Source organism: Homo sapiens, chromosome 9 (assembly GCF_000001405.40).
Source record: "Homo sapiens chromosome 9, GRCh38.p14 Primary Assembly".
NCBI classification, from domain to species: domain Eukaryota; kingdom Metazoa; phylum Chordata; class Mammalia; order Primates; family Hominidae; genus Homo; species Homo sapiens.
Window position 1 is genome coordinate 137,170,075 of NC_000009.12, and position 20,947 is coordinate 137,191,021.

Sequence of the window (20,947 nt, forward strand, 5' to 3'; positions counted from 1 at the left end):
AGTTCCTGTCCCACGGCTGGATCCACGCTTGGGGCGGGGGCAGGGCAAACAGCCAACGCCCGGCACCGCCAGCCACCTGTCCGGGAGCTCCAAACTACTCTTGGCTCAGCGCCGGCCACAGCGCTATCAAGACCACCTCACCCCGCCTTGTCCACCACCGGGCGCCCGCCGAGCCCTGACCTGAGCAGCAGGACACCGCCCACCTGCACCCGCCCAGCTCACGGCTGCAACAGGCGCCCACACGCAATGCAACCCAGAGGTCCTGCTCCTCACCCGTCTCGACCCCACCCAGGCTCCGCAAAGTGATCCCAACGTGCACATGCGGAGTGGCCCCCACGCAGGGATGGTCCCATTCCCATGCTGGATAGGGCCTGGGTTGGAGACAGGCCTTGGGGTGGAGGGAGACAGCACACCCGAGGCAGGAGAGGCGTGCCTGCCCCACCCCTCCCCCCCAGGACTCTCCTGGGATAGAGGTACAGACCAGTGCAGTGGGGCAGGGGTATCAGCCCAAGTCCTGCTGTTAAACCCAGCGCCCTTCACAGTTGCCAGTTGCAGGTCCTGTTCTAGGGGCTTTCCAAAGCTGGGTGCAGGAAGGAGCCGGGCTGACCAGCTGTGGCAGAGAAGGTGGAAACATTAGGGGTATGGCTTACTGCCAGGGGGCAGAGGAACAGGGGAACTTGCTGTGGGGCCTGGGCACTCTGCTTTGATGAGACCCATATGCGCGTGCACCCCCCATGATGCAGCCGTGAGGGGTGTGAGGGCCTGCAGGGAGGACGGTGCACAACCACTAAACAAGCTTTAATTCCCCTCCCCCAGCTGCCCTCAGGAGGGCCTGCAGGGAGGACAGTGCACAGCCACTAAATACGCTTTAATTCCCCTCCCCCAGCTGCCCTCAGCCCTCTACTCAGGTGGTAGGGGCGGGGGTGGTGGCGGCTCCTCTGAAGAAGCCTCCATGGGGATGGCCACAAGGCTCTGATCCTCTAGTGGTGGCACCAGGGAGACCTCCAGGTCAGCGTCCATTAGCTGGGACTCCACGTAAACCGGGTGCAGGTCCATGAGATCTTCCTGGACCCCAAAATTCTCCACCAACCTGCATGACGGGCCGGGTCATCACGAGCTGGTAGAGTCCTTGTTCCCCCAGGACAGGCTGGCGTCTGGGACAGTGCACCCCCACAAAGGGCCTCCCTTGGGACAGCACACCTCCTCTTCCAGGGACAGCACCCCTCCTCCTCCAGGGACAGCACCCCTCCTCCTCCAGGGACTCCCCTGGGATAGCTCCCCCCGCCAAGGGCCTCCCCTGAGACAGCGTGCCTCCCTCGAGGGCCTCCCTGGTGCTCACCTGTTGTCCACTTGTCTCGGGCATGTTTCACTGAGGGGACGAAGGCCAACATGAGTCCTGGAACAGTGCTGGGCCCCCGGAGCTCCCCCAGCACACGCCTAGGAAACGCCATTCCTACCCCAGGTGACAGCCCACCCAGGGGGTAAAGCCCTTCTTGCAAGACCAAGGGCCCAGGGCAGCCAGCCTGGCCTCACTCCCATCCTCTCCCGGCCCCAGGGTTCACGCACCCCTTGGCCCGCAAGACACCAATTGCCACGATGACGAGGGCACAGAAGCAGCTGGCACTGATGCCCGCCAGCACCACAAGGAGGGCGATGAGGGCCTCGCGGCTGAGGCCAAGGCTGCATTCACAGTAGGTTCCAGCTGCAGAGACAGGGCCACATGGCCATGGGCCGGTCACCTGCCTGCAGAGGGCCCCCAAGTCTGCCCCTGCCCTGGTAGCCACCAGAAGGACACCAGAGCTCCCACCTTGCCTGGGGAAGGGGAGCCATGGCTGGGAGTGGAGTGCGGGGGCAGGAGGAGGCACCTGCAGCAGGGATGAGCAGAAGGGACAAATATGTGAGGCCCAAGGGGCCACCACGCAGGCAGGACACAGGCCAGGGACCGGGGGCCATGTCCAGCCCTGGCCCCACTGCACACCTCTGACGGAACTGTTGGAAGGTGCTGACTTCACAGTAGGACTGTGAGGTGGGGGTGGGGGGGCTCACAATGCCAGTGTGTCATTTGCCCTTGGGCACCGCAATTCAAGGAGCCATGGCCAAGCAGCTCTGGGAATGGGACAGGTAGGGTGGGCAGAGGCCTGAGAGCCCAGCCAGCTCAGGCCAGCTCTGAGGCAGAGGCAGCAGTGGGGCTGGCCTGGTCTTACGGGCAGTCCTTCAGTGGTTTCACCGTGTTAGCCAGGATGGTCTCGATCTCCTGACCTTGTGATCCGCTCGCCTCGGCCTCTCAAAGTGCTGGGATTACAGGTGTGAGCCACTGCGCCCAGCCAAATCCTTCACAGTGAAAGGGGGTGGGCAGCACTCCAGGCCCCGATGTGGGTGCGGTGGCCTGGCAACCTTGCAGGGTGGGCGGCAGGCAGCCTCGGCCTCAGCTCCCTCCCAGCATAAGGGCTGCGGCAGCTCAGCATGTGGGCTGGGCTCCAGCTGGCTGTAGGTCACCTTCCTCCAGGGCTGGGGCAGGAAGGGGCCAAGGAGGGCTAAGGGGGTGGGCTTGCACCCATCCTCCCTCCCCACTGCTTCTGGGAGGGTCTGGCTCACGCCCTGGCAAAGCTCAGGTCAGAAGGGCTGCCGGCACCCAAGGGAATCCCCCATCAACTTGGAAAGGTCTGGGGGACACTGGCCACCCCTGTCTGAGCAGGACCCCAAGCCCTGCCTCCCAGACATCCCCCAAGGCTCCAGACTAAAGGTGTCACTGAAGTTGGAGCCCCCAGGAGCTTTCCCCTCTGCAGAAAAGACAAGCGTTGCCCAAGGAAGTCGACCGCAGGCCGGCATGGCCAGGGTTGCTTTCAGCCTCCTCCCTGCACCTGCTATTCCAGGCTGGGAGAGAGGCCCCTGCCCTCCCAGCCTCCCCTCCTCTGGACCTGCCAAGCAAACCGCCAGGCAGCAAAAGGAAACACCTGCCCCACAGCCAACGGAGGCCAGGCCTTCTGCCAGCTCAGGACACATGGGACACGGGGGGTGGGGGGGGTGGGCACAGTCTGGCCCCAGTGGCCCTGGGCACCAGGGACCCCCTCGCCTGTTGACAGGCACCCTCCTGCTGGGGTCCTCCGACCTCTGACTTGCCGAGTGACACCGTGACCCGAGATGCACCCTTCGCCCTTGTCTTCAGGACACAACCAGAGATGGAATCCACAGGACACAGAACAAAAGGTGTACCAGAGCCAGGCTGGCAGTGACACTCGACAGGCCAGCCCAGCAGGTTTGTATCCTGGTTAGGACAATGGCACACCCAGCCTGGGGCCAGGTGGTGGCCACAGACAGCGGGATCCAGGCAAGGCCACCTTGCTCTGAGGGGGCATCAGAGCAATCGGGACCATCCCACCAGAATTCAGGAGAGGGGTCCCTCTTTTTGTGACAGCAGCACAGACAGCCTTGGAGTGAAGTGGAGCAGGTGGCAGGGCCCAGGGCTAGAGGGGAGATACCGCACAGGCGGAAGCAGCCCTCCTTGGCGGGGCAGAGGCCTGATGGGCACAGGCTGTGCATCTGGCGCCTGCCTAATCCCGGCCACTTCCTCCTTCAAGCCCTGAGGCAAACAAGAGTTCTCCAGAGCAAGGAGGGTGCAGGAATGTCCACTGAACGGGACGGCTCAAACAGGCCAGAGCTGGAGAGGTGGGAGGGTGCTGGGCGGCAGCTGCAGGAACCCACGACAATGGACATGGGACCAGCAAGGGCATCAGGCCAGAGCTGGAGAGGTGGGAGGGTGCTGGGCGGCGGCTGCAGGAGCCCAGGACCGTGGACATGTGGGAACCAGCAAGGGCATCTGGGGACAGCGGTGGGAGCACTGAAACCAGGCGCAGCTCACAGCCTGGGAAGGCGCTGCAGCAGGAGCGGGACTCGAGGCACCAGTTCAAAGGGCCTTTGTCCCCCGCGAGGACGGCGCCATCGGGGTGGAACGTGTCTGGCCTGGAAACGGCACCTCTGGGACAGAGGCCCAGGTTTGAGCAGCAGAAGAGCCCAGAACTGGACCCTAGGGCCCTTGCTCAGTTTTGTGGCGTCTCCCTCTCCTAGTGCCAGCCTCTAGGACAGGACCTGGGCAGCCTGCACACGCGTGACCACACGTGTGAAGGACGTAGGGGCGACCTGCCTTTCTGAGGCACACCTGTGAAGCTGAGCCCTCCGGCCACCCTGCCTGAGTGTGGAGCAGGGGACAAGTGCCCAGTCCCTCTGGCCACCAGGGCACAGCCTTCGGCAGAGCCTCACTGCCAGAGACGAGGCGTGTTGGCCTAGAGGTCATTCGCCAGCCTCAGCAATTCCAACCGAACCCGCACAACGTCCCAACCTCGCCCGAGACCTCCTGGCCGAGCGTGTGGAGGTGGGCACAGGCTGAGCAGAGGGTGACCCCAGGGCTCCTTCTAAAGGCCAGAGGCGCAGGAATGGAGCTGGAGGTCTGGCGGGTAGCAAGCACTAAGCCCTAGGACGTGGCTGCCTGAGCCGTGGCCCGGGCGTGACGTGGACCTTCACGTGCCGCTCCCTGAGCACCCTGGGTCGGGGGCGGCCCGGGATTCTCTCAGGAGGCTACATTCCCAGTGCAGATGTGTAGGCCTAGGTGGCCCCTCACCTGCTGCTGAGGAGCAGGCCCTGCCAGGCTGAGAGAGAGGCCCAGGCTAGAGGAGGATCCTGGGGGGCCCCACAAAGCCACCAGGACAGAAAAGGATGATCTGACTTGCTTTAATCTGCACACTGCGGGGGTGGGGGTGGGCATGCTCCTCAGCAGTGCATTCTGGGACACGGGCGGGCGGGGGCTGGCACGGGAGGACGAGAGCACCTGCAGGGCAGCGCCTGGCGGGCGGGCGGGCGGGCGGGCGATGTGTCAGCTGCAGTTCTTGGGCAGGCGGTAGACGCCGGCCGAGTAGACGAGCTGCTGGTCCCGCACCTTCTTCTGCAGGTAGCCCTGCAGCTCCTGCAGGTCAATCTCGGCCAGTGCAGGCCCAGTCACCACAAACATGCGGAGCATGTTGTAGATACGATCCAGTGAGAGGCTCTCCAGGTTGGTCAGCATGGCCTGGATGTACGTCCAGAAGAGCTGCGGACACAGGCCAGCCCCCGTCAGGCACCTGCAGGCCTCGCCCCCGCCCCCTGGCCCCCCGTGGGGCCTGCACGCGCACCAGCAGCTCCTCCTCCTTCTGGTCGGCCTGGGAGGCCATGCCGGAGTCGCTCTCGTCGTCACTGTCAATGAGCACCATGTTGTCCCGGTCCTGAGGCCGCTCCTCCTCAATGACAGAGAAGGTGCCGGGGGGCTCCTCACGCAGCACACCCTGCTGCAGCCACACGGACATCCGCCGCCGCAGCAGCGCCACGGGCATCTTCACCGCCTTGCTCAGTTCCTCCAGGGTCCAGCTGGCTGCGTGCAGAGTCACCGGGACGCTGGGCAGCCTGGGCACGGGCTGCACCTCCCCTGCCTCCCGTCAGCCGAGAGGTCGGGGGGCTCCCGGGCCACCCTGCCTTGCCCGTGGGAAAGGGAAGGGTGCCGCCTGCTGGCGCAGCTGCCCCAAACCACACCCTCACTGGGGAACAGCCCCTCACCCACAGCTGGGCCGTGTGGCCGGGGCAGGCCAGCTAGGGGCTGGTGGGCTCACCTTGGTCCTGAAAATACAGCAAGATCACCGCCTGTACTGGGGTGACCGCCACAGACAGCGTGCGGTCGGCCAGCTCCACGTCCATGGTCACCAGGCCCAGGGTGTGCTTCCAACTGAGGGTCCGCATGGCCTAAGGAGGGCCAGGGTCAGCACGGGCAGCTCGGCTGCAGGGCGCTCAGGCCCGTGGGCTCTGCCACCTGGTACCAGTGAGAAAGGGGCTCCCAGAGCCACCTGCCCCACCCCACCCTGGCAGGCAGGTGAGCAGCGAGAGCACAGGACTGGGTGGGGTCCCCACCTGCTCAGCCACCATGGAAGGGCAATGGGGCCAGCATCATAAGGTGTGTCCCGAAAAGGCTACAGGGGCCTCCTGACCCCCAGTGCTTGGAAATGTGGCCATATTTGCAAACAGGGTTGATGCAGATGTAACTGAGGTGCATCCTAACCCAACTGACTGGGGTCCTTCTAAGAAAAGGAAAGATAGGAAGACACAGGCAGGCGGGGAGGGGGCCACACGAAGACAGAGACCACCTGGAGCAACGCGGCCACAAGCCAAGAAACACCAAGGGCTGTGGCAAACACCAGAAGCTGGGGGGCAACGGAGGTCTCTAAGAGGGTTCAGAGGGAACGGGGCTGCCAGTACTTTCATCTTGGACTTCCAGCCTCCAAAACTAAGACAATCTATTTCTGTTTTTTAAGCCACCCAGTTTGTGACACTTTGTTACAGCAGCCACAGTAAACGAACAGATTTTGGTACCAGGAAGGGCCAGGAGGGGTGCTGCCAAAACCTAACACCAAGAACTGTGGCAGCAGCTTTGGAAGTGGGTGATGGGGAGAGGCTGGAAGAACTGGTGAGGCCTGCACGACTGCTGGTAGAAAGGCATGAAGACAAGCCTGGAAATGGCTGGAAGAGGAGAGCTGCCGCCGTCTTGGAGAATGCACACAGCATCACAGACTGGATGTCGGCAGCAATGCCGACCCAACAGGTGCTTCCAGTGAGGTCTCAGATGGAAATGACCGTGCTACTGGGAACCGGAGGAGGCAGCAGAGAGCTTGGCTGGCTGCTGCTCTGCTGTTGGGTGCGAAGTGGGACCTGCAGCTGATGAGCCTGGACATCAAGCTGAGATTTCCAAGCAGTGTGGAAGGTGCCACCTGGCTTCTCCTTGCTACTTATAGCAGAATGCAAGAGGGAAACAATCAGTGAGGCAGGGACCATTAAGCAAAAAGGCACCAGCCCTTGGGGATCTGAAAAATACTCTATCCAGGCAGCTCTGAGACGTGGCCAAGGGTGTGGCTGGACCAGGGTTTGCTAGACATGAGGTGTGACCTGTGTATCCAACTAACCATCTCAGCAGCAGACAGGGACAGGTGGGGCCTCCGGGAAAGGGCTGCGGACCCGCCTGTCTGAAGGCTTCGGCACTGGTGAGCTGCATAAGCCAACAAGGTGTGAGAATTTTACACCCGCAGAAGTGCTGCCAGGCTGGAGTGAAAGGAAGGCAGGCTCCAAGAGCAGAGCCGCCGAGGCCAAGGCTGACGGAGCAGGGGGCCAAAGAGGATTCGCAGGCCTGGAAGTCAAGTGGAATTTCGGCTGCTGGGTTTGGACTCGCTGTCCTTTTTCCTCCCAGTTTTCCCTTTTGGGGTGGGAATGTGTATGCTTGTCTTACGGCTGAACTTTTGAAACAGATCATCTGTTGGCTGATTTCACGGCGTCCCAGCTGGAGGAATGGCGCGCACTCCAGCCTCACCTGTACCTTGTTTAGATCTATTTACGTAGAGGAATGGCGCACACTCCAGCCTCACCTGGACCTCGTTAAGATGCATTTACAGGCTGAGATGTGTGTGGAACTTTGTGTGGATGGTAGTTAGATGAGATTTTGGACTTGGAGTTGATGCTGAAATGGTGAAGACTTTTGGGGACACTGGGGCTGTCACTTGCACGTGGGAGGGGCCCACCATGGGGCAAATTGTCATGCACTGAATTGTGCCCCTCGAAAAATGACACATGAACCCCTAACTCCCGGTGCCTCTGATGAGATCTTATTTGGAAATACGGTCATTAAAGATATAATTAAGATGACGTCACCCTGGAATAGAGAGAGTGTTCTTCTAAGAGGGAGATAGGAACAGAGACACGGGGGAACATCACGGGCGACGCGGCAGAGACCAGAGCGAGGCACCCACAGGCCCCGGAGCTCCTGGAGCCCCCAGAAGCTGGAAGAGGGGAGGAAGCAGCCTCCCCTAGAGCCTTCGGAGGGCCCTGCTGACCCTGACTTTAGACTTCTGACTTCTGTAAAATGATATGTTTCTTTTAAGCCCGCTGGTTTGTGGTACTTTGTTCTGGTAGCACTGGGGCACTGACACACCTGCTCTGTGGGCCAAGGGCTCCTGAGTCCTTCCAGGATCCGGCAGCTTCTAATGGAAACAAACCCCTCTTTATGGACAGAAAATGGAAGTGGAGTCAGTGGCTTGCTAGGTCCTAGTTCTGGCTCCAAGGCCATGACCTCCACAAACGCCGCCACTGGTCAGCCTGCCGCAGGACACATGCAAGGGCTCAGGGGTGACGCTGTGGGCTGCATGGCCAGCCACGTGTCCAACAAGGTCGCTCGGCCAGGAGCTCTGCTGGTGGGACCTCTCAGCACAGCCCCGGGGCCTCCCTGAGCCACTCCTGTGTCCCACTGAAGTTAAGACAAAGGGCACTAGAGTGTGGCTGTCCCAGCACATCAGGCCTGAGCAACAGGAAGTGGCTGAGTCATGCCTGGGACCCAAGGCAGGACCCTGGAGGGAGGCCATTGGGGCCTTGCCTGGAAGCAACGCTGGAGAGCCTGAGGCAGCCAGAGGGGCAGGGGGAAAGGGACCGAGCACGGAGCCGGGCCACACGGATGATTTGTACCAGAACACAGCGGGGCACGGTGCCCGCAGGCTCCAGAGACACCAGGCTGTATCACAGGCCAGAGCTCGAGGTGTGGGGATGGCCAGGGTGCTCCTTTCCACCGAGAGCAGGTGCAAGCCACACAGACCCTCCACAAGCTGCAAGGGACACCTGGACTCTTCCAGAGCCAAGCTGAGGCCTGGAGGGAGGCAGCAGGCATTCGCCACCATGGTCAGCAGCCCGGCCCTACCACAGCCCCTTGGCCTCCTGCCCTGGGGGCCTCCGCCTGGCCCTCCCCTTGTCTGTCTCCGGAAGGAAGCTTCCCCCTTGGTTTCTAAAGTGGACACATCGCCCTGCCCTCCCCTAGGAGTAAGTTCCCTTGGTTTGTCAACACAGCAAGGCCCTCTTACTTGCAAAAGAAAAAGGAAAACACATCTAGGTCCAGCCTCCTTCACAGCAGACCTGGAGAAGCTGTGGACCCTCCCTTGAACTCAGCCCCGCCCGCCCGCCGGCCTCCTGGCGGCTCTGTCCTGAGGCTGCTCCTCCTGCCTGGGCCGAGGCTGGACCATCCCCTTCCTGGGGTACCTGGGGTTGGGGTCTGCAGACTGGATGCTGGCTGTGCCCCAGAACCCTCTCCTCACATGTCCCCCGCTGGGGTGCCCGCCTCCCCCCAGTCCTGAGCACTCGCTGGGCACACTGGAGGCCTCACAGGCCCCACACATCAGACAGAAAGCCCTGGAACCCGCCTGTGACGACCATCCCGACCCCTTCCTCCCCGAGCCGACACCTCCCACCTGTGACGACCATCCTAACCCTTCCTCCCCGAGCTGACACCTCCCACCTGACTATGAGCTCAGGGAAAGAACCGCCAAGCCTAGTTCCATCCCTCAGGCTCTGGACGCCTGTACTGGGACTGCTGGGATCTCAGCAGTGCTGCCAGGGGAAGTGAGCCAAACGTGGCCAATACCATCCTCTGGGCACACTGTCCCCATCTGCCAGTGACCTCCAGGCCAGGGCTCACTCCTCCACTCCCCACATCTGCTCCCCTCCTACTCCCACCACAGACCCATAGCCCCGGTCCTCAAGTACCACTGGAGCCTGCAAAGGCAGTTCTCGAGGAAACAGACCTGGAGAAGGGGGCAGGGCTGGGGTCCTGGGGGTCAGGTGCGCCTGGGAGTGCTGCCCTGGGCAGAGGGCAGCCCTGGCTCCCTAGCTGCCTCCCTGCAGTGACGCAAGGCACCCCAAGCCCCGGTTCTGAGAGGCAGAGGGTGGATAGCAAAAGAGGAGGAAACGCTCAGAGGGCAGGGCCTGCTGTGGCCACAGGGGTCCCCCTGAAGCAGTTCAGGAGACCTGGGCCCAGCACAGCCCACCCAAGCGCCTGTGGGCCGCGCGGACGCTCGCTCACAGGGGACACGGGGTTGCTGGGAGGAAGGCGGAGAGAGCGTGGGCCAGGCCCACTCCCTCTCCTGCAGAGGCGGCTGCGAGACAGGACCAACCCAGAGACACTCGGGTGACAACGGGGCAGCCACAGGCACCAGGCTGCTGGGAGCCCCGCAGTGCAGGGTAGGGGTGCCAAGAGCCCATGGGGTGGCCTGGCATGGAGGTACCTTGAGCTGCTCATACTTCTTGCAGTAAGCCTCCAGGGCTGCCCTGATATCCTCGGGGACCTCCAGCTTCTCGTCCTTGAAGGGCGGCCAGAACTCACTGGACAGGATGACAGCGTAGACCCCGAACGGTGGCTGCTCCTCTGCTGGCCGCTTCTCATCCTCCTCCCGGATGTTGGCATTGATGCGGCGGGAGTCCGCCATGTCCTGAGGAGGAGCCGGTGTCACGGGGGACCTGCGGGGCGGCCGGGCAGCGGGCGGGGCTGGGACCCACCTTCAGCATGACTTCACAGAAGTGCATTGGGGCCTCGCCAAAGCGCAGCTTCAGCAGCTCCACGTTGCGGATCTCCCTGGAAAGACGAGTGTCTGGGCAGGGGGTCGTGATGAGCCCCAGCCCCAAGGAGCACCTGTGGCAGGGCACGGGGGTGCCCCCCAGGCAGAGCAGGGAGCCTGTGTGGGCACCCCAATGGCTAGCACACCCCCAGCCAGGAGTGGGGGCGGAAGCACAGCTCCAACCAGGCCCCAGGCACGGCGTCAGGGCCCTGTCCCGAGAGAGGCTGGGCAAAGGCCCCGGCACCCCTGGAGATGGCCAGCGCGTCACAGGCCTCACCGCTCGGGGCTGAAGCTGAACTGGTGCAGCAGGCGGTCGGCCAGCAGCGAGCGGTACTCATTGATGAAGAGGTCCTTGCTGCCGTAGATGCTGACCAGCAGGCTGATGATGTCCGATGAACGCCGCTTGGAGCTCGACTTCCCTGGCATGGTGGGGGCAGGGGTGTCACCTGACAGGCACCTGGGCAAGGACAGGGCCGCCCTCCTCCCATCCCGCCCAGCCAGACGGCACAGCCCAGCATGGCTCTTCCTGAAGGCCCTCGAGGCTGGGAGCAGCCCTGAGCCTCCCGGGAGACCTGGAGTCAGGTCCTGGAGCAACAGCTTCAATCCCCAGCCCCTCTCACCCCACAGGGACCTTCCGGGACTCCCATGCAGGCTTAGGGGACAAGCCAAAGGTCCTGGGGTTTTCCTCTGAGAGAGACTAAAGATGTGTTGAAGACTTACCATCTGTGCCAGGGCAGGGGCCAGGCCTGGGCCCCATAGCCCTCAGAGCCCTCGCAGACGAGGGCCAGGCACAGATGGGCTCTGAGCAGGAGCTGGCACCCTAACGGGACTTTGAGGCCCAAATCAGTACAGAGCTCAGGGGTCACCCACATCTTCACTCCTCTGCCAGGTGCAGTGGCGGGGCAGGGACACCCCACAGCTCACAAGCGGTGGGAGGCAGGGCATCCCCCACGGCCAGAGTGACCAGCCACAGAGGAAAACAGCCCATCACCGGCCTGCCCAGGCTGGCAGGTGGCGGAGCACTGCCCTGACCTTTGACACCCTCAAGCCTCTGAGACACTAGCGACACCTGACACAGCCAAGCTCTGTGACAAGGGATGAGTCCAGAGCGGACGGCCTGGCTGAAGCGCCCCCCACACTGGTGAAAGGGACCATGTGGGGCAAGCTAACCTGGATCGGCATCCACAGGGTCCGGGACCCAGTCCTCTGGCTCGCCTGAGTCATCCTCACTGTCCTGGCCTGTCTCCAGGCTCGCCGGGTCGGTCTTGGACAGCTCAACAGCCAGGTCCCCTGTCCCGTCCGAGTCCCCCGTCAGCCCAGCCACAATCTGCCGCACTGTGTCCTCCCGCGTCCTGCCGATGTGAGTGCTGCTGTGGCCCACAGTGTGGACACCCCGCGCGCACCTCCCACCACTCATTCCAGTCCCGGCCCCATCTAGGCCAGCACCACCGACCCTGCCTCTACACTCAGTGGTGATGGGCTATGTACTAAACACAGGCCCGTCAGACTCCTTAAAAACAAATAAACCCAACGTTACTTGGGAGCAGCAGGAGCTGCGAGCGCAAGGCCGGCCTGCGCACCTGCAATCCCAGCACATAGGGACACTAAGCCAGAAGACCTAAGCCCAGGTGTCCGAGGCTGCAGGGAGACAGGATTCTGCCACTGCACTCCAACAGAGCGAGAGCCTGCCTCAAAAAAAAGAAAAAGAAAAAGAAAAAAGGGCCGGGCACGGTGGCTCACGCCTGTAATCCCAGCACTTCAGGAGGCCGAGGCAGGCGGATCACGAGGTCAGGAGATCAAGACTATCCTGGCTAACATGGTGAAACCCCATCTCTATTAAAAATACAAAAAGTTAGCCAGGCTTGGTGGCGGCCTGTAGTCTCAGTTACTCGGGAGGCTGAGGCAGGAGAATGGCGTGAACCCGGGAGGCGGAGCTTGCAGTGAGCAGAGATCGTGCCACTGCACTCCAGCCTGGGCGAAAGAGTGAGACTCCATCTCAAAAAAAAAAGAAAAAACAAAGAACTGGCTCAGAAGCCAGGCCAGTTACAGCCACAAAGCACCAAAGGAGTCCAGGTAGGGGCCAGACTCCACCGGCTCCTGCTGCTCGGCTCCTGGGGGCCACTGTGCCTGCCAGCCCCGGGCCAGGGCCTCTGCGACCCCTGAGGAATTCCCAGGCAGCCATGTCAAGGTCCTCATCCCAACACATTCTCCACCGAACAGCCCCAGGAGTGTCTGTTCCTTGCCGTGGGAAAGGCCAGGACAGCAGAGCCCACTCCCCTTGCCTGGTCGGCCTTGGGGACTGGTCAGCACCAAGGCGAGGCCAAGTGGAAGAGCTTCTCTCTGTGCTGGAGATGGGGAGGCTGAGGAAGGGCTGTGGTGGGCCTCTGGCAGCTGCACACAGAGGGCACGGTGACACCGTGTGACAAGGACAGGTGCCCGGCACGGGCAAGAGGAAAGGAAAGAGCCTCGGGCCTGATCCCGTGCACTCAGCCCAGCCGGGGGAGACCTTGTGTCCTGACGGCCGAACACACCCTCCGGCTGCCCCCCAGGACCACGAGGAGCTCAGCAGGATGCCCAGGGTCCCAGTGGCTCCTGGGCCAGCTGCAGCCCTCACCTCAGGTAGCGGCGGATAGGCTCACAGGCCACCTCCAGGATGACCATGGAAGGGTCCAGCACGCGCAGCGCCTTGATGGCAGAGATATAGAGGGTGATGATGTCACACGTGTTGACGCCTACAGCCAGGGCAGAAGCCAGCAGTCATGCAGTGCCCGGGACCACAGCCTCCCAGGGGCAACACCCGAGTAGACAGCTGGCCATGCCGGTAGGTGGTCTACAGGTCCCCACTGCAGCCTCGTTCCCTTGTCCCCCCATCCCCACCTCTACCTGTTCACAGGTCCCGCCCTGCAGGGAGGTCTGTTCTGAGAGAACTAAGTCTCATCACCTCAGACCTACCGGTCAGTCCTGACTCCCTCCAAAGAAGAAACAAGCAAGCTGACGGGCACCTCAGATCCCCTAAGGACCTCACCAATTGCTTCTCAACCCATTTCTTCCTTAGACCTACAAGTCCAGGGCTGGCAGACTAGGCCCCAGGCTCCCTGGACATGGGTCCCCTGGTGAGTGTCTAAGCCCAGAGTGCTGGGTGGCCGGGCAGCACACAGCACCTGGATGCAGGAGCCGAGTCTCCAGGGCAGCCTTGAGGGACACGAGCAGCTGCTGCCTCTGGTCCGTCCTCTCCAGGCAGTACTTGAGGTCCTCGATGGCTGGCCGGGAGTCTGGGAAGTCTACAAGAAGAAGAACATCCCTCAGGGACAGACATGGATGCGTGCGCACGTGCAGGCTGGTGCAGAGTGTGTGCGGTGTGGGAAAGGACACGTGCTTGCCAGCCCCAGGACGATGATGAGACCACCTGCTAGGCACCAGACATCCCCCCGACACTCTGGCGTGCTGATGCATTTGACCACAATGCCACAGGGTGGACAGAGCAACACCCAGGGGCCAGTCCCCAGCAGGAGCCAAGGCCAAGGCAGCACAGCAGTGGACACCCAGAAGCACTGTCCAGCATCTGCCACACCTGCCCTGATCCAGGCACGGGGGACGCCGCAGTGGGGACAGTCCCAGCACTGCCCGGTGCACCCCCCTGCAAGAGCGACAGCGAAGGCACAGGGAGCCCCAGACGTGGACACAGGGAGCCCAGATGCAGACACAGAGCCGACATGGCGAAGGCCCTGGGAGCCCCAGATGCAGACACAGAGCAGACACGGCGAAGGCACAGGGAGCCCAGACGCAGACACAAGGAGCCCAGACACAGACACAGAGCAGACACGACGAAGGCCCTGGGAGCCCCAGATGCAGACAAAGAGCAGACACGGTGAAGGCACGGGGAGCCCAGACGCAGACACAGGGAGCCCAGACGCAGACACAGAGCAGACACGGTGAAGGCACAGGGAGCCCAAGACGCAGACACAGAGCAGACACGGCGAAGGCACAGGGAGCCCAGATGCAGACACAGAGCAGACACAGCGAAGGCCCTGGGAGCCCCAGACGCAGACACAGGGAGCCCAGACGCAGACAGAGCAGACACGGCGAAGGCCCTGGGAGCCCCAGACGCAGACAGAGCAGACACGGTGAAGGCACAGGGAGCCCAGACGCAGACACAGGGAGCCCAGACGCAGACACAGAGCAGACACGGCGAAGGCACAGGGAGCCCAAGACGCAGACACAGGGAGCCCAGACGCAGACACAGAGCAGACACGGCAAAGGCCCTGGGAGCCCCAGACGCAGACACAGAGCAGACACGGTGAAGGCACAGGGAGCCCAGATGCAGACACAGAGGAGACACGGGGAAGGCCCTGGGAAGACTCCCCAGACGGGAGAGCGGACCCCAGGGCCGGGGCAGGACCACCTCGGACGATGCTGAAGAGCTCCTCGATGCGCAGGCTGGCGTAGATGCGGTAGAAGAACCTTTGCACGTGGCAGCGCCAGCGGCGCAGGGTGTTGCCGGCCTCGGGAGATGCGGGCCTGGCGGGGCCGTCCTGCAGGAACACCTTGCCGAGCCAGCCGACCACCCGCTCGATCCACTGTCAGGAGAACGCTAGTGTGAGCTGCAGGGAGGCATGGTGAGCCCCGGGCTGACTCAGAGGCTGGGAGGAGCCTCACGGCCACCCACCCTGTCGGCCGGGACCGAGGGGAGCCCGAAGGCCACCTGCGTCTGGAGGCTGGAGCACATCAAAACCTGCAGGGTGGGTGATGGCCCAAAAGGCGACGTCCCGGCCCCCCTGCAGTCTTCGTGCCTCTCACACGCGCCAGTGCCCACACTTATCACTGGCAGCAGCAACCCTAGCGTGAGACATGACAGACACACACGACCTGTGCGCTGTGCCTGGTGGGCACACTTGCCCCCACTTAAATGGATAAACACGCCCTTGAGACCAGCCGGGGGGCCCAGGCGAGCACAAACCTCTAGGTGGCAATTCCGCCGCGGGGCCCAGGCGTGCTCATGCCCCACAGACCTGCTACCCAGTGGCAAGACCGCACGGATGTTCACCCTCTCCACCCTACTACCCACTCTTGCCCACCGCTTTGGGGACACCCTCCCTCTTTGAAAACCCAACATCACAGCCAATCTGCACCTCAGTAGGGGGACTCTGAAACACTGAGGAAAGGACAGGTGACACATGGGAACAGGATGGGGGGACCCACATGGCTGGGCCCAGCTCCCCTATGGCTCCGGGAGCCCAGAGCAGAGCCCCAGACCACACCCCAACAGCACAGGTGCCTGGAGGCCCCATGTGAGGGTGTCTCGCTCCCCGCTGTGGTGCAGGCTGGCTGTAGGTCAGTCCATTAGGGACCGGCCAAGCGAGTCCACACTCAAGTAGGGCAGCAAACAGGAGAAGGGGATCCATTCAGTGGCTCCTCTGGTGGGCCCAGCTTCGCCACACCTGCCTGAGGTAGCCCCCTCGGGATCCTGGCCCGATACCGCCTGCAGCCATGGGATTCTGCGCAGATCCGAAGAGCGCACCTCAGATGCGTCCTCGCTATCACCAGGGCCCAGAAGTACTGGTCTCTACCCCACATCAAGACAGCTCCAGCCACCACCCGGTCTGGGCCCACCCAGGCCTCCGTGCTCTGGATGCTTCTGAAGCCAGGTGTCAGGTTTGCCAGAAACCTACTCCCCTGTCTCCAGCGGGGCACAGCCCAAGGGAGGGGTCCTCACCTTGTGGAACTCACGCAGGAAGGAGCGCTCGTACTCGCCCCGGCAACGGTCCTCCATCCTCTCCCGGGTCACCTGGTGCAGGGTGGTGGTCACAGCCTCGGCACTGACCCGCTCCAGCAGACTGAGCCTGTGTCTAGAGGAGAGCCCTGGCCATGGGGCACCCAGAGCACACACCGGCCCCTCTAGCCCAGAACAGCCCCATGCCAGGACTGCCCTGCCTGTAGAGTGCATGCAGCACACACACACACACACACCCAGCACACACCTCCCCACAATCCTCAGCTGTGGGGGGCGGTTGTACCAAAGGCTTCAAGAAGCCACTGGGAGCACAGAGCACTCCCAGGCTCTGCTGTCCCCGCCCAGCTGGCCTCTATCCAGGTAGGGACACTGGCCTTCCCCATGTGATCAGTGGCAGCAGGTGTGGCTGTCGGGGGCCCTAGCCTTATCTCCTAGGATCAACTCTGAAACGACAACCAACTGCACTGCTACCCTGGCCGCAGAGGTACAGATGCCACTGTTTGTGCCTTTCAGTGCAGTCTCTGGTCTACAGTGACAAAAGGACTCAAGAGGAGGATGAGAAAAGTTGCCGTGTAACTTTTGCAGGGATGAGCCCAACAGAAGCCCTTCACGGTCTCCCTGACCCCTGCCAGCAAAAGGAGCACTCCTTTAGTCCACCTTTAGTCCACCTAAGACCTCTCAAGTAGCTGCATGGCTACACCCCCGTTCAATGTGACAAAACCACCACAAATGGCCAAGGGTATGACAATTGCTAGAGAACTACAACAGGACCTGTCTCTCACAACAAACCCCTCTCCTCTCCAAACTAACAAGAGACTGCTTGCCCTCACAGTGACCTGATCTTCCTGGAGAGAAGCAGCAGCAAGCTTCTGTTCACAATTACAGGGCAAGGAATGTCGACGAGGGTGAGAATCATTCCTCCCCAGGATCGACAAAAGGCACAGTGGAATTCTGCAGAGTCCAGGAAGTTTGGAGTTGCTAAGAAATTTGCTGCTGCAGACACAAGCCACATAGGGCCTTACCAGGGTCAAGGCATGAATCTGTGGGACTGAAGGTGAGTGACAGAAGAGAGACACCTGTGTCCAGGACACGCTGCACAGGAATCCCTGGGACTCTCTCTCTGTCATGTTCCTGGTTATCAGGACGGCTCACCAGCTTTCTGCTGAGGCCAGCTGGACCCAGGGGAGCAGCGGGGAACCAGAAGGAGCAAGGGCATGGCCATCGGGACAGACTACTCACAAGACCTGGCTGAGCTGATGGAACTGCTCCAGAGCCTGGCGACACCAGCACTGTTGCTTGTCACTGCTGCACCCTGCACACAGCGGGCTCTGCAGGAGCCGGTAGTACCGGCGACGGGCATACCGGCTGTCCAGCTCCCCTTCCAGTTCCGGGTCTGTGCCCCCTTCCCCCTTCCTCTTACTCTGCATATAGACTCTCAAGAAGCACCCATACAGACGCTGGATCATCTCTTGGAAGGTTCTGGGGGTGCTAAAGAACAAGACTCCGCGCAACATAGTGTGGACTTCTTCTCGCAGCCCCTGAGCACCAGTGCCCATCAGCAAGCCCAGGCGAGTCCATTTCTCCAGCAGCTCTAGGCTACGCAGGTAGGGATCCAGGCGGCTCTCCAGCAGGCCAAAAGCGTCAAGGAGTAGCAAAAGGCACTGGGGCTCATCCGCAGAGTTCTCGCATTGGGAGATGGCATTCCAGAACTCAGGGGAGATGTTGGCCTGCAGATCGTTCTGCAGCACCTCCACGAACCACTCCTCCAGGACCGAGTGTAGCCCGTGGCCCCTCAGAACCTCCACCGCCGCCCGGAGCTCCTCTTCCTTTGGCGGGACTGCACCGCTGGTCCGGGAAGACACCTGGGGTGCAGAAAACCGTGAGGCGAGGGGAACACAACATAGAGGTGGGGAGAGGCGGGGAAGGGAAGAAGCTGAGGGGGAGGCTGCAAAAACTCCGCTGCCCCCTGTCCGTGCTGCCCGGACGTTGGGCCGAAGCTATGGAAGGGCTGTCAGCGGAGCTGAACGAAACGAAACGGAAAGGTGGTGGAAAATGGCAGGACAGGACAGAGGCGGATGATGGACAGAGCCGTATGAACCCGAGGGTAGCGGCCCCAAAGCGCGTACGGTCCCGGAAACTCCGCGCGGGGCCGCCCCTCTCTTCCCAGGCCTCACCAGCCCCAGCGCAGCCGGCGGCACCAGGCCGGTGCTCACGGTGTTCCAGGCCACTAACAACTCCTGTCCGGGCCGGGAGTCGCTGTCCCCCTCCGCCACCACAACTGCCGCCGCCATCTGCACCCACCGACTCCGAGATTCGCTCGGCGCGGCGCGCGGCGATGACGCACGTCTGCACGCGCAGCCATGACGCGCACAAGGCGCTCAGCGATGACGCGCTAGTTCGGCGCGCCGTGGGGGAGTCGTGCGCAGGCGCGGACAGCGCTGCTTCCGCGGCGGTTGGGGTGGTGGGGCCCCGGGCGGCGTTGACCATGACCCAGCAGGGCGCGGCGCTGCAGAACTACAACAACGAGCTGGTCAAGTGTGAGCGGCGCAGCCGGGACGGGGAGGTCGGGAGGGCCGCAGGGCCGGGTTCCCGGCTCGCAGCGGGGTGCCCCTGGACCCGCCTCGCTGCGGGCATCGCGCGGCTGAGCAGAGCCCTCCGTGCCGGAGGCCGGGTGTCCGTGGCCCGAGCCCTCGCTGGCTCGCAGGCCCCGCGCCGGGCGCTCGGGGGTGGTGCCTGACTCTGGCTTCCTCGGGTGGAAGGAGGCCCGCCCTCCGCCGCCGCGCTCCTGCCCTGGGCCCACAGCGCCGCCCCTCCCGGCCCCCAGGCATAGAGGAGCTGTGCCAGAAGCGGGAGGAGCTGTGCCGGCAGATCCAGGAGGAGGAGGACGAGAAGCAGCGGCTGCAGAATGAGGTGAGGCAGCTGACAGAGAAGCTGGCCCGCGTCAACGAGAACCTGGCACGCAAGATTGCCTCTCGCAACGAGTTCGACCGGACCATCGCGGAGACGGAGGCCGCCTACCTCAAGGTGGAGCTCGGGAGGCCAGGCCGAGCATCAGGGGATAGGCACGGCAGGGGTGTTGCCACGGCAAGGCGTCAGGACCGGCTGGGGCTCCCGGCTGTGGGCAGTCTGTGCCTCGCTGGCATTTCGGGCAGGGGCAGCGTGGCCAGGCCCATTGAGGAACCCAGGCTGCTGTGGGAGTGACTGTGGGGCTGTCTGTGGGGCCTGGGGCATCCTGGGTCCTGGTCTTTATCCGGTTCTCGCTAGCCATGTGGTTATTTCTGCTCAGTGTGAAGAGCCAGGTCTTGGGCAGAGCACCCAGCACGGGCCAGTGCTAACCCAGCCTGGCTTTGAGGGTGGAGAGGAAGTGTTTTGGGTCAGATTCCGGAGGGAAGAGGGCCCTGCCACCCCGTCTGCCAGTCCCCTTGGGCTTCCGCCTTCCCCCACACAGGATCCCTTGGCTACAGCACCCCCAGCCAGGTCCCAGCACCTGAGTGTGAGGACAGCTGGGGCTTAGGACCTTACCAACAGGTGAACATTAACAACCTTCTCACTTCTCTGGCCCCAGATCCTGGAGAGCTCCCAGACTTTGCTCAGCGTTCTCAAGAGGGAAGCTGGGAACCTGACCAAGGCTACAGCCCCAGACCAGAAAAGTAGCGGCGGCAGGGACAGCTGACCAGACCACGGGCAGGGCCTGCCTCCGTGTGCCCCTCAGCTCAGCCCCAGCAAGTGTGTGCTCAGAGCATCTTTGTTCTTCACGGCAGCAGCTACCTTCCCTCACTGTCTCAGGTGCCGAGAGGGGCAGGTGCCAGCCTCCACTGGCATCAGTGACAAGCCCAGGGCACAGCCCACCCGGGGGTCCTCGCTTCATGCTCACACAGGCTATGGGGATGGTGGGCTCCAGGTCAGCTCTGCAAGGGGCTTGTCTCTGTGGCACCCACACTCCTGCCCTGCCAGGGAGGCTCTGGTTGTCTGAGCACCATGGGGGCCCCCTCACCTTGTCCCTCCTCAGCCAGCAGAGGCCCAGGGCAAGGGACAGGAGGACAGGGGTTCTCCTTCACCACAGAACCCAAACCTCAGGTCTCACCCCTGTGGCCTGTGATTATGAATAAAGATTATCTTTGTAAAGATCCGTGCCAGCCTGCTGCTTGCCCGTATCAACAGCATGGGGCTGCCAGACACCTGCAGAGCCAGAGCCTGAGGCTCCCCCTTGGGAGAGGAGGGAGGAGGGTCTGGAGTGGCCTCCCTGTGACTGCCCCACTAGCCTCAGGGACACCGCTGAGGGTGCCCACCCTCCCCAGGCCAGCCCCACCCTGAGCCCTCCCCAGCAGGGCCGCCGGTCCTCTTCCCCTGACTGGCCCACGGCTCACCCTCCTCTCAGGAGCTCTGCTTGCTCGTCCTGTTCTCTGCCACACCCTGGTGGCCAGCATAGGACCCAGCCCAGAGAGACAGCTGGGGATGCCAAGCATATCCAGCAGCTGCCTCAGATTCAGGTCCCTCTCAGCAAGGACTGGGGGGAGTTCACACCCCCCACCCCCGTCGGTTCCTCAGTTGCAAGTTTTGCTTGGCCTGATGACACCACTGCTGCCACCAGGCCCTGCTGCCCACCTTTCCCTGGCCGCACACCAAGCACTGGCCACTTCCATCCTTCCATGTGCCCTGGGGCCTCTGTTTTGTCCCTGCAGCAACCAAGCATGGCCCGAGGACTGGGCCGATTTGGGAGGCATGTGTTGATCCAGAGGGTCCAGAAAAGAGCTGGGCCTAACCCGACCAGGGAAATACA

The 20,947-nt window shown here is 62.7% G+C and overlaps 3 protein-coding genes and 1 long non-coding RNA gene across 9 annotated transcripts, besides 3 other annotated features; 2 read left to right on the plus strand and 2 right to left on the minus strand.

The window, feature by feature from the left end:
• Nucleotides 784-1,982, minus strand: TMEM210 (transmembrane protein 210). Its single transcript, NM_001282477.2, has 4 exons — nucleotides 1,866-1,982; nucleotides 1,567-1,702; nucleotides 1,340-1,369; nucleotides 784-1,090 (listed from the first exon to the last, which is right to left on the minus strand). Exons 1-4 carry the CDS (start codon nucleotides 1,951-1,953, stop codon nucleotides 901-903), a joined length of 444 nt encoding a protein of 147 aa, NP_001269406.1. The 5' UTR covers nucleotides 1,954-1,982; the 3' UTR covers nucleotides 784-900.
• Nucleotides 1,983-2,057: 75 nt separating this feature from the next.
• On the plus strand, nucleotides 2,058-7,707 carry LOC124902315 (uncharacterized). Of its 3 annotated transcripts, none has more exons than XR_007061879.1 (3): nucleotides 2,058-2,304; nucleotides 3,084-3,256; nucleotides 4,943-7,707. It is a non-coding gene; the product is annotated as an uncharacterized LOC124902315 (long non-coding RNA). The 3 variants fall into 3 exon arrangements; XR_007061881.1 differs by having other exon boundaries at nucleotides 2,058-2,121; XR_007061880.1 differs by having other exon boundaries at nucleotides 3,167-3,256; nucleotides 4,943-5,028.
• On the minus strand, nucleotides 4,710-18,486 carry ANAPC2 (anaphase promoting complex subunit 2). 4 transcript variants are annotated; one of them, NM_013366.4, is made up of 13 exons: nucleotides 18,342-18,486; nucleotides 17,407-18,029; nucleotides 16,150-16,282; nucleotides 14,839-15,013; nucleotides 13,598-13,717; nucleotides 13,051-13,168; nucleotides 11,607-11,788; nucleotides 10,714-10,855; nucleotides 10,378-10,453; nucleotides 10,107-10,310; nucleotides 5,634-5,763; nucleotides 5,163-5,398; nucleotides 4,710-5,080 (listed from the first exon to the last, which is right to left on the minus strand). In NM_013366.4, the coding sequence occupies exons 1-13, from the start codon at nucleotides 18,456-18,458 to the stop codon at nucleotides 4,868-4,870; spliced, it is 2,469 nt and encodes an 822-aa protein (NP_037498.1). In that variant the 5' UTR covers nucleotides 18,459-18,486; the 3' UTR covers nucleotides 4,710-4,867. The 4 variants fall into 4 exon arrangements, with proteins under 4 accessions (NP_037498.1, XP_047279230.1, XP_047279231.1 ...); XM_047423274.1 differs by lacking the exon at nucleotides 4,710-5,080 and adding an exon at nucleotides 7,994-8,042 and having other exon boundaries at nucleotides 5,299-5,398; XM_047423276.1 differs by lacking the exon at nucleotides 4,710-5,080 and adding an exon at nucleotides 7,994-8,042 and having other exon boundaries at nucleotides 5,396-5,441.
• Nucleotides 4,725-5,558: an enhancer, noted in NCBI's record as "H3K27ac-H3K4me1 hESC enhancer chr9:140069251-140070084 (GRCh37/hg19 assembly coordinates)". NCBI's record gives its function as "activates a minimal SCP1, AML or CMV promoter by ChIP-STARR-seq in naive H9 embryonic stem cells {active_cell/tissue: H9 hESC(naive)}" and the evidence as "EXISTENCE:reporter gene assay evidence [ECO:0000049][PMID:30033119]".
• Nucleotides 18,394-18,613: an enhancer, noted in NCBI's record as "active region_29347". NCBI's record gives its function as "activates an Ori minimal core promoter by ATAC-STARR-seq in GM12878 lymphoblastoid cells {active_cell/tissue: GM12878}" and the evidence as "EXISTENCE:reporter gene assay evidence [ECO:0000049][PMID:35858748]".
• SSNA1 (SS nuclear autoantigen 1) lies at nucleotides 18,602-20,292 on the plus strand. The gene is made up of 3 exons (NM_003731.3): nucleotides 18,602-18,704; nucleotides 18,992-19,191; nucleotides 19,733-20,292. Exons 1-3 carry the CDS (start codon nucleotides 18,653-18,655, stop codon nucleotides 19,838-19,840), a joined length of 360 nt encoding a protein of 119 aa, NP_003722.2. The 5' UTR covers nucleotides 18,602-18,652; the 3' UTR covers nucleotides 19,841-20,292.
• Nucleotides 18,644-18,993: a silencer, noted in NCBI's record as "silent region_20588". NCBI's record gives its function as "represses an Ori minimal core promoter by ATAC-STARR-seq in GM12878 lymphoblastoid cells {active_cell/tissue: GM12878}" and the evidence as "EXISTENCE:reporter gene assay evidence [ECO:0000049][PMID:35858748]".

Coding starts and splice junctions, on each gene's coding strand:
- TMEM210 (NM_001282477.2), bottom strand. CDS start 1,953: ATGGCCCCCGGTCCCTGGCCTGTGTCCTGCCTGCGTGGTGGCCCCTTG. Junction 1,370..1,566: donor GGTGTCTTGCGGGCCAAGGG/GTGCGTGAACCC, acceptor TCGTCCCCTCAG/TGAAACATGCCCGAGACAAG. Junction 1,091..1,339: donor CCGAGACAAGTGGACAACAG/GTGAGCACCAGG, acceptor CCCGTCATGCAG/GTTGGTGGAGAATTTTGGGG.
- ANAPC2 (NM_013366.4), bottom strand. CDS start 18,458: ATGGCGGCGGCAGTTGTGGTGGCGGAGGGGGACAGCGACTCCCGGCCC. Junction 13,718..14,838: donor GCTCTTCAGCATCGTCCGAG/GTGGTCCTGCCC, acceptor TTCTTCTTGTAG/ACTTCCCAGACTCCCGGCCA. Junction 11,789..13,050: donor CCTATCCGCCGCTACCTGAG/GTGAGGGCTGCA, acceptor TCACATCGGCAG/GACGCGGGAGGACACAGTGC.
- SSNA1 (NM_003731.3), top strand. CDS start 18,653: ATGACCCAGCAGGGCGCGGCGCTGCAGAACTACAACAACGAGCTGGTC. Junction 18,705..18,991: donor CAACAACGAGCTGGTCAAGT/GTGAGCGGCGCA, acceptor CCCGGCCCCCAG/GCATAGAGGAGCTGTGCCAG. Junction 19,192..19,732: donor CGGAGGCCGCCTACCTCAAG/GTGGAGCTCGGG, acceptor CTCTGGCCCCAG/ATCCTGGAGAGCTCCCAGAC.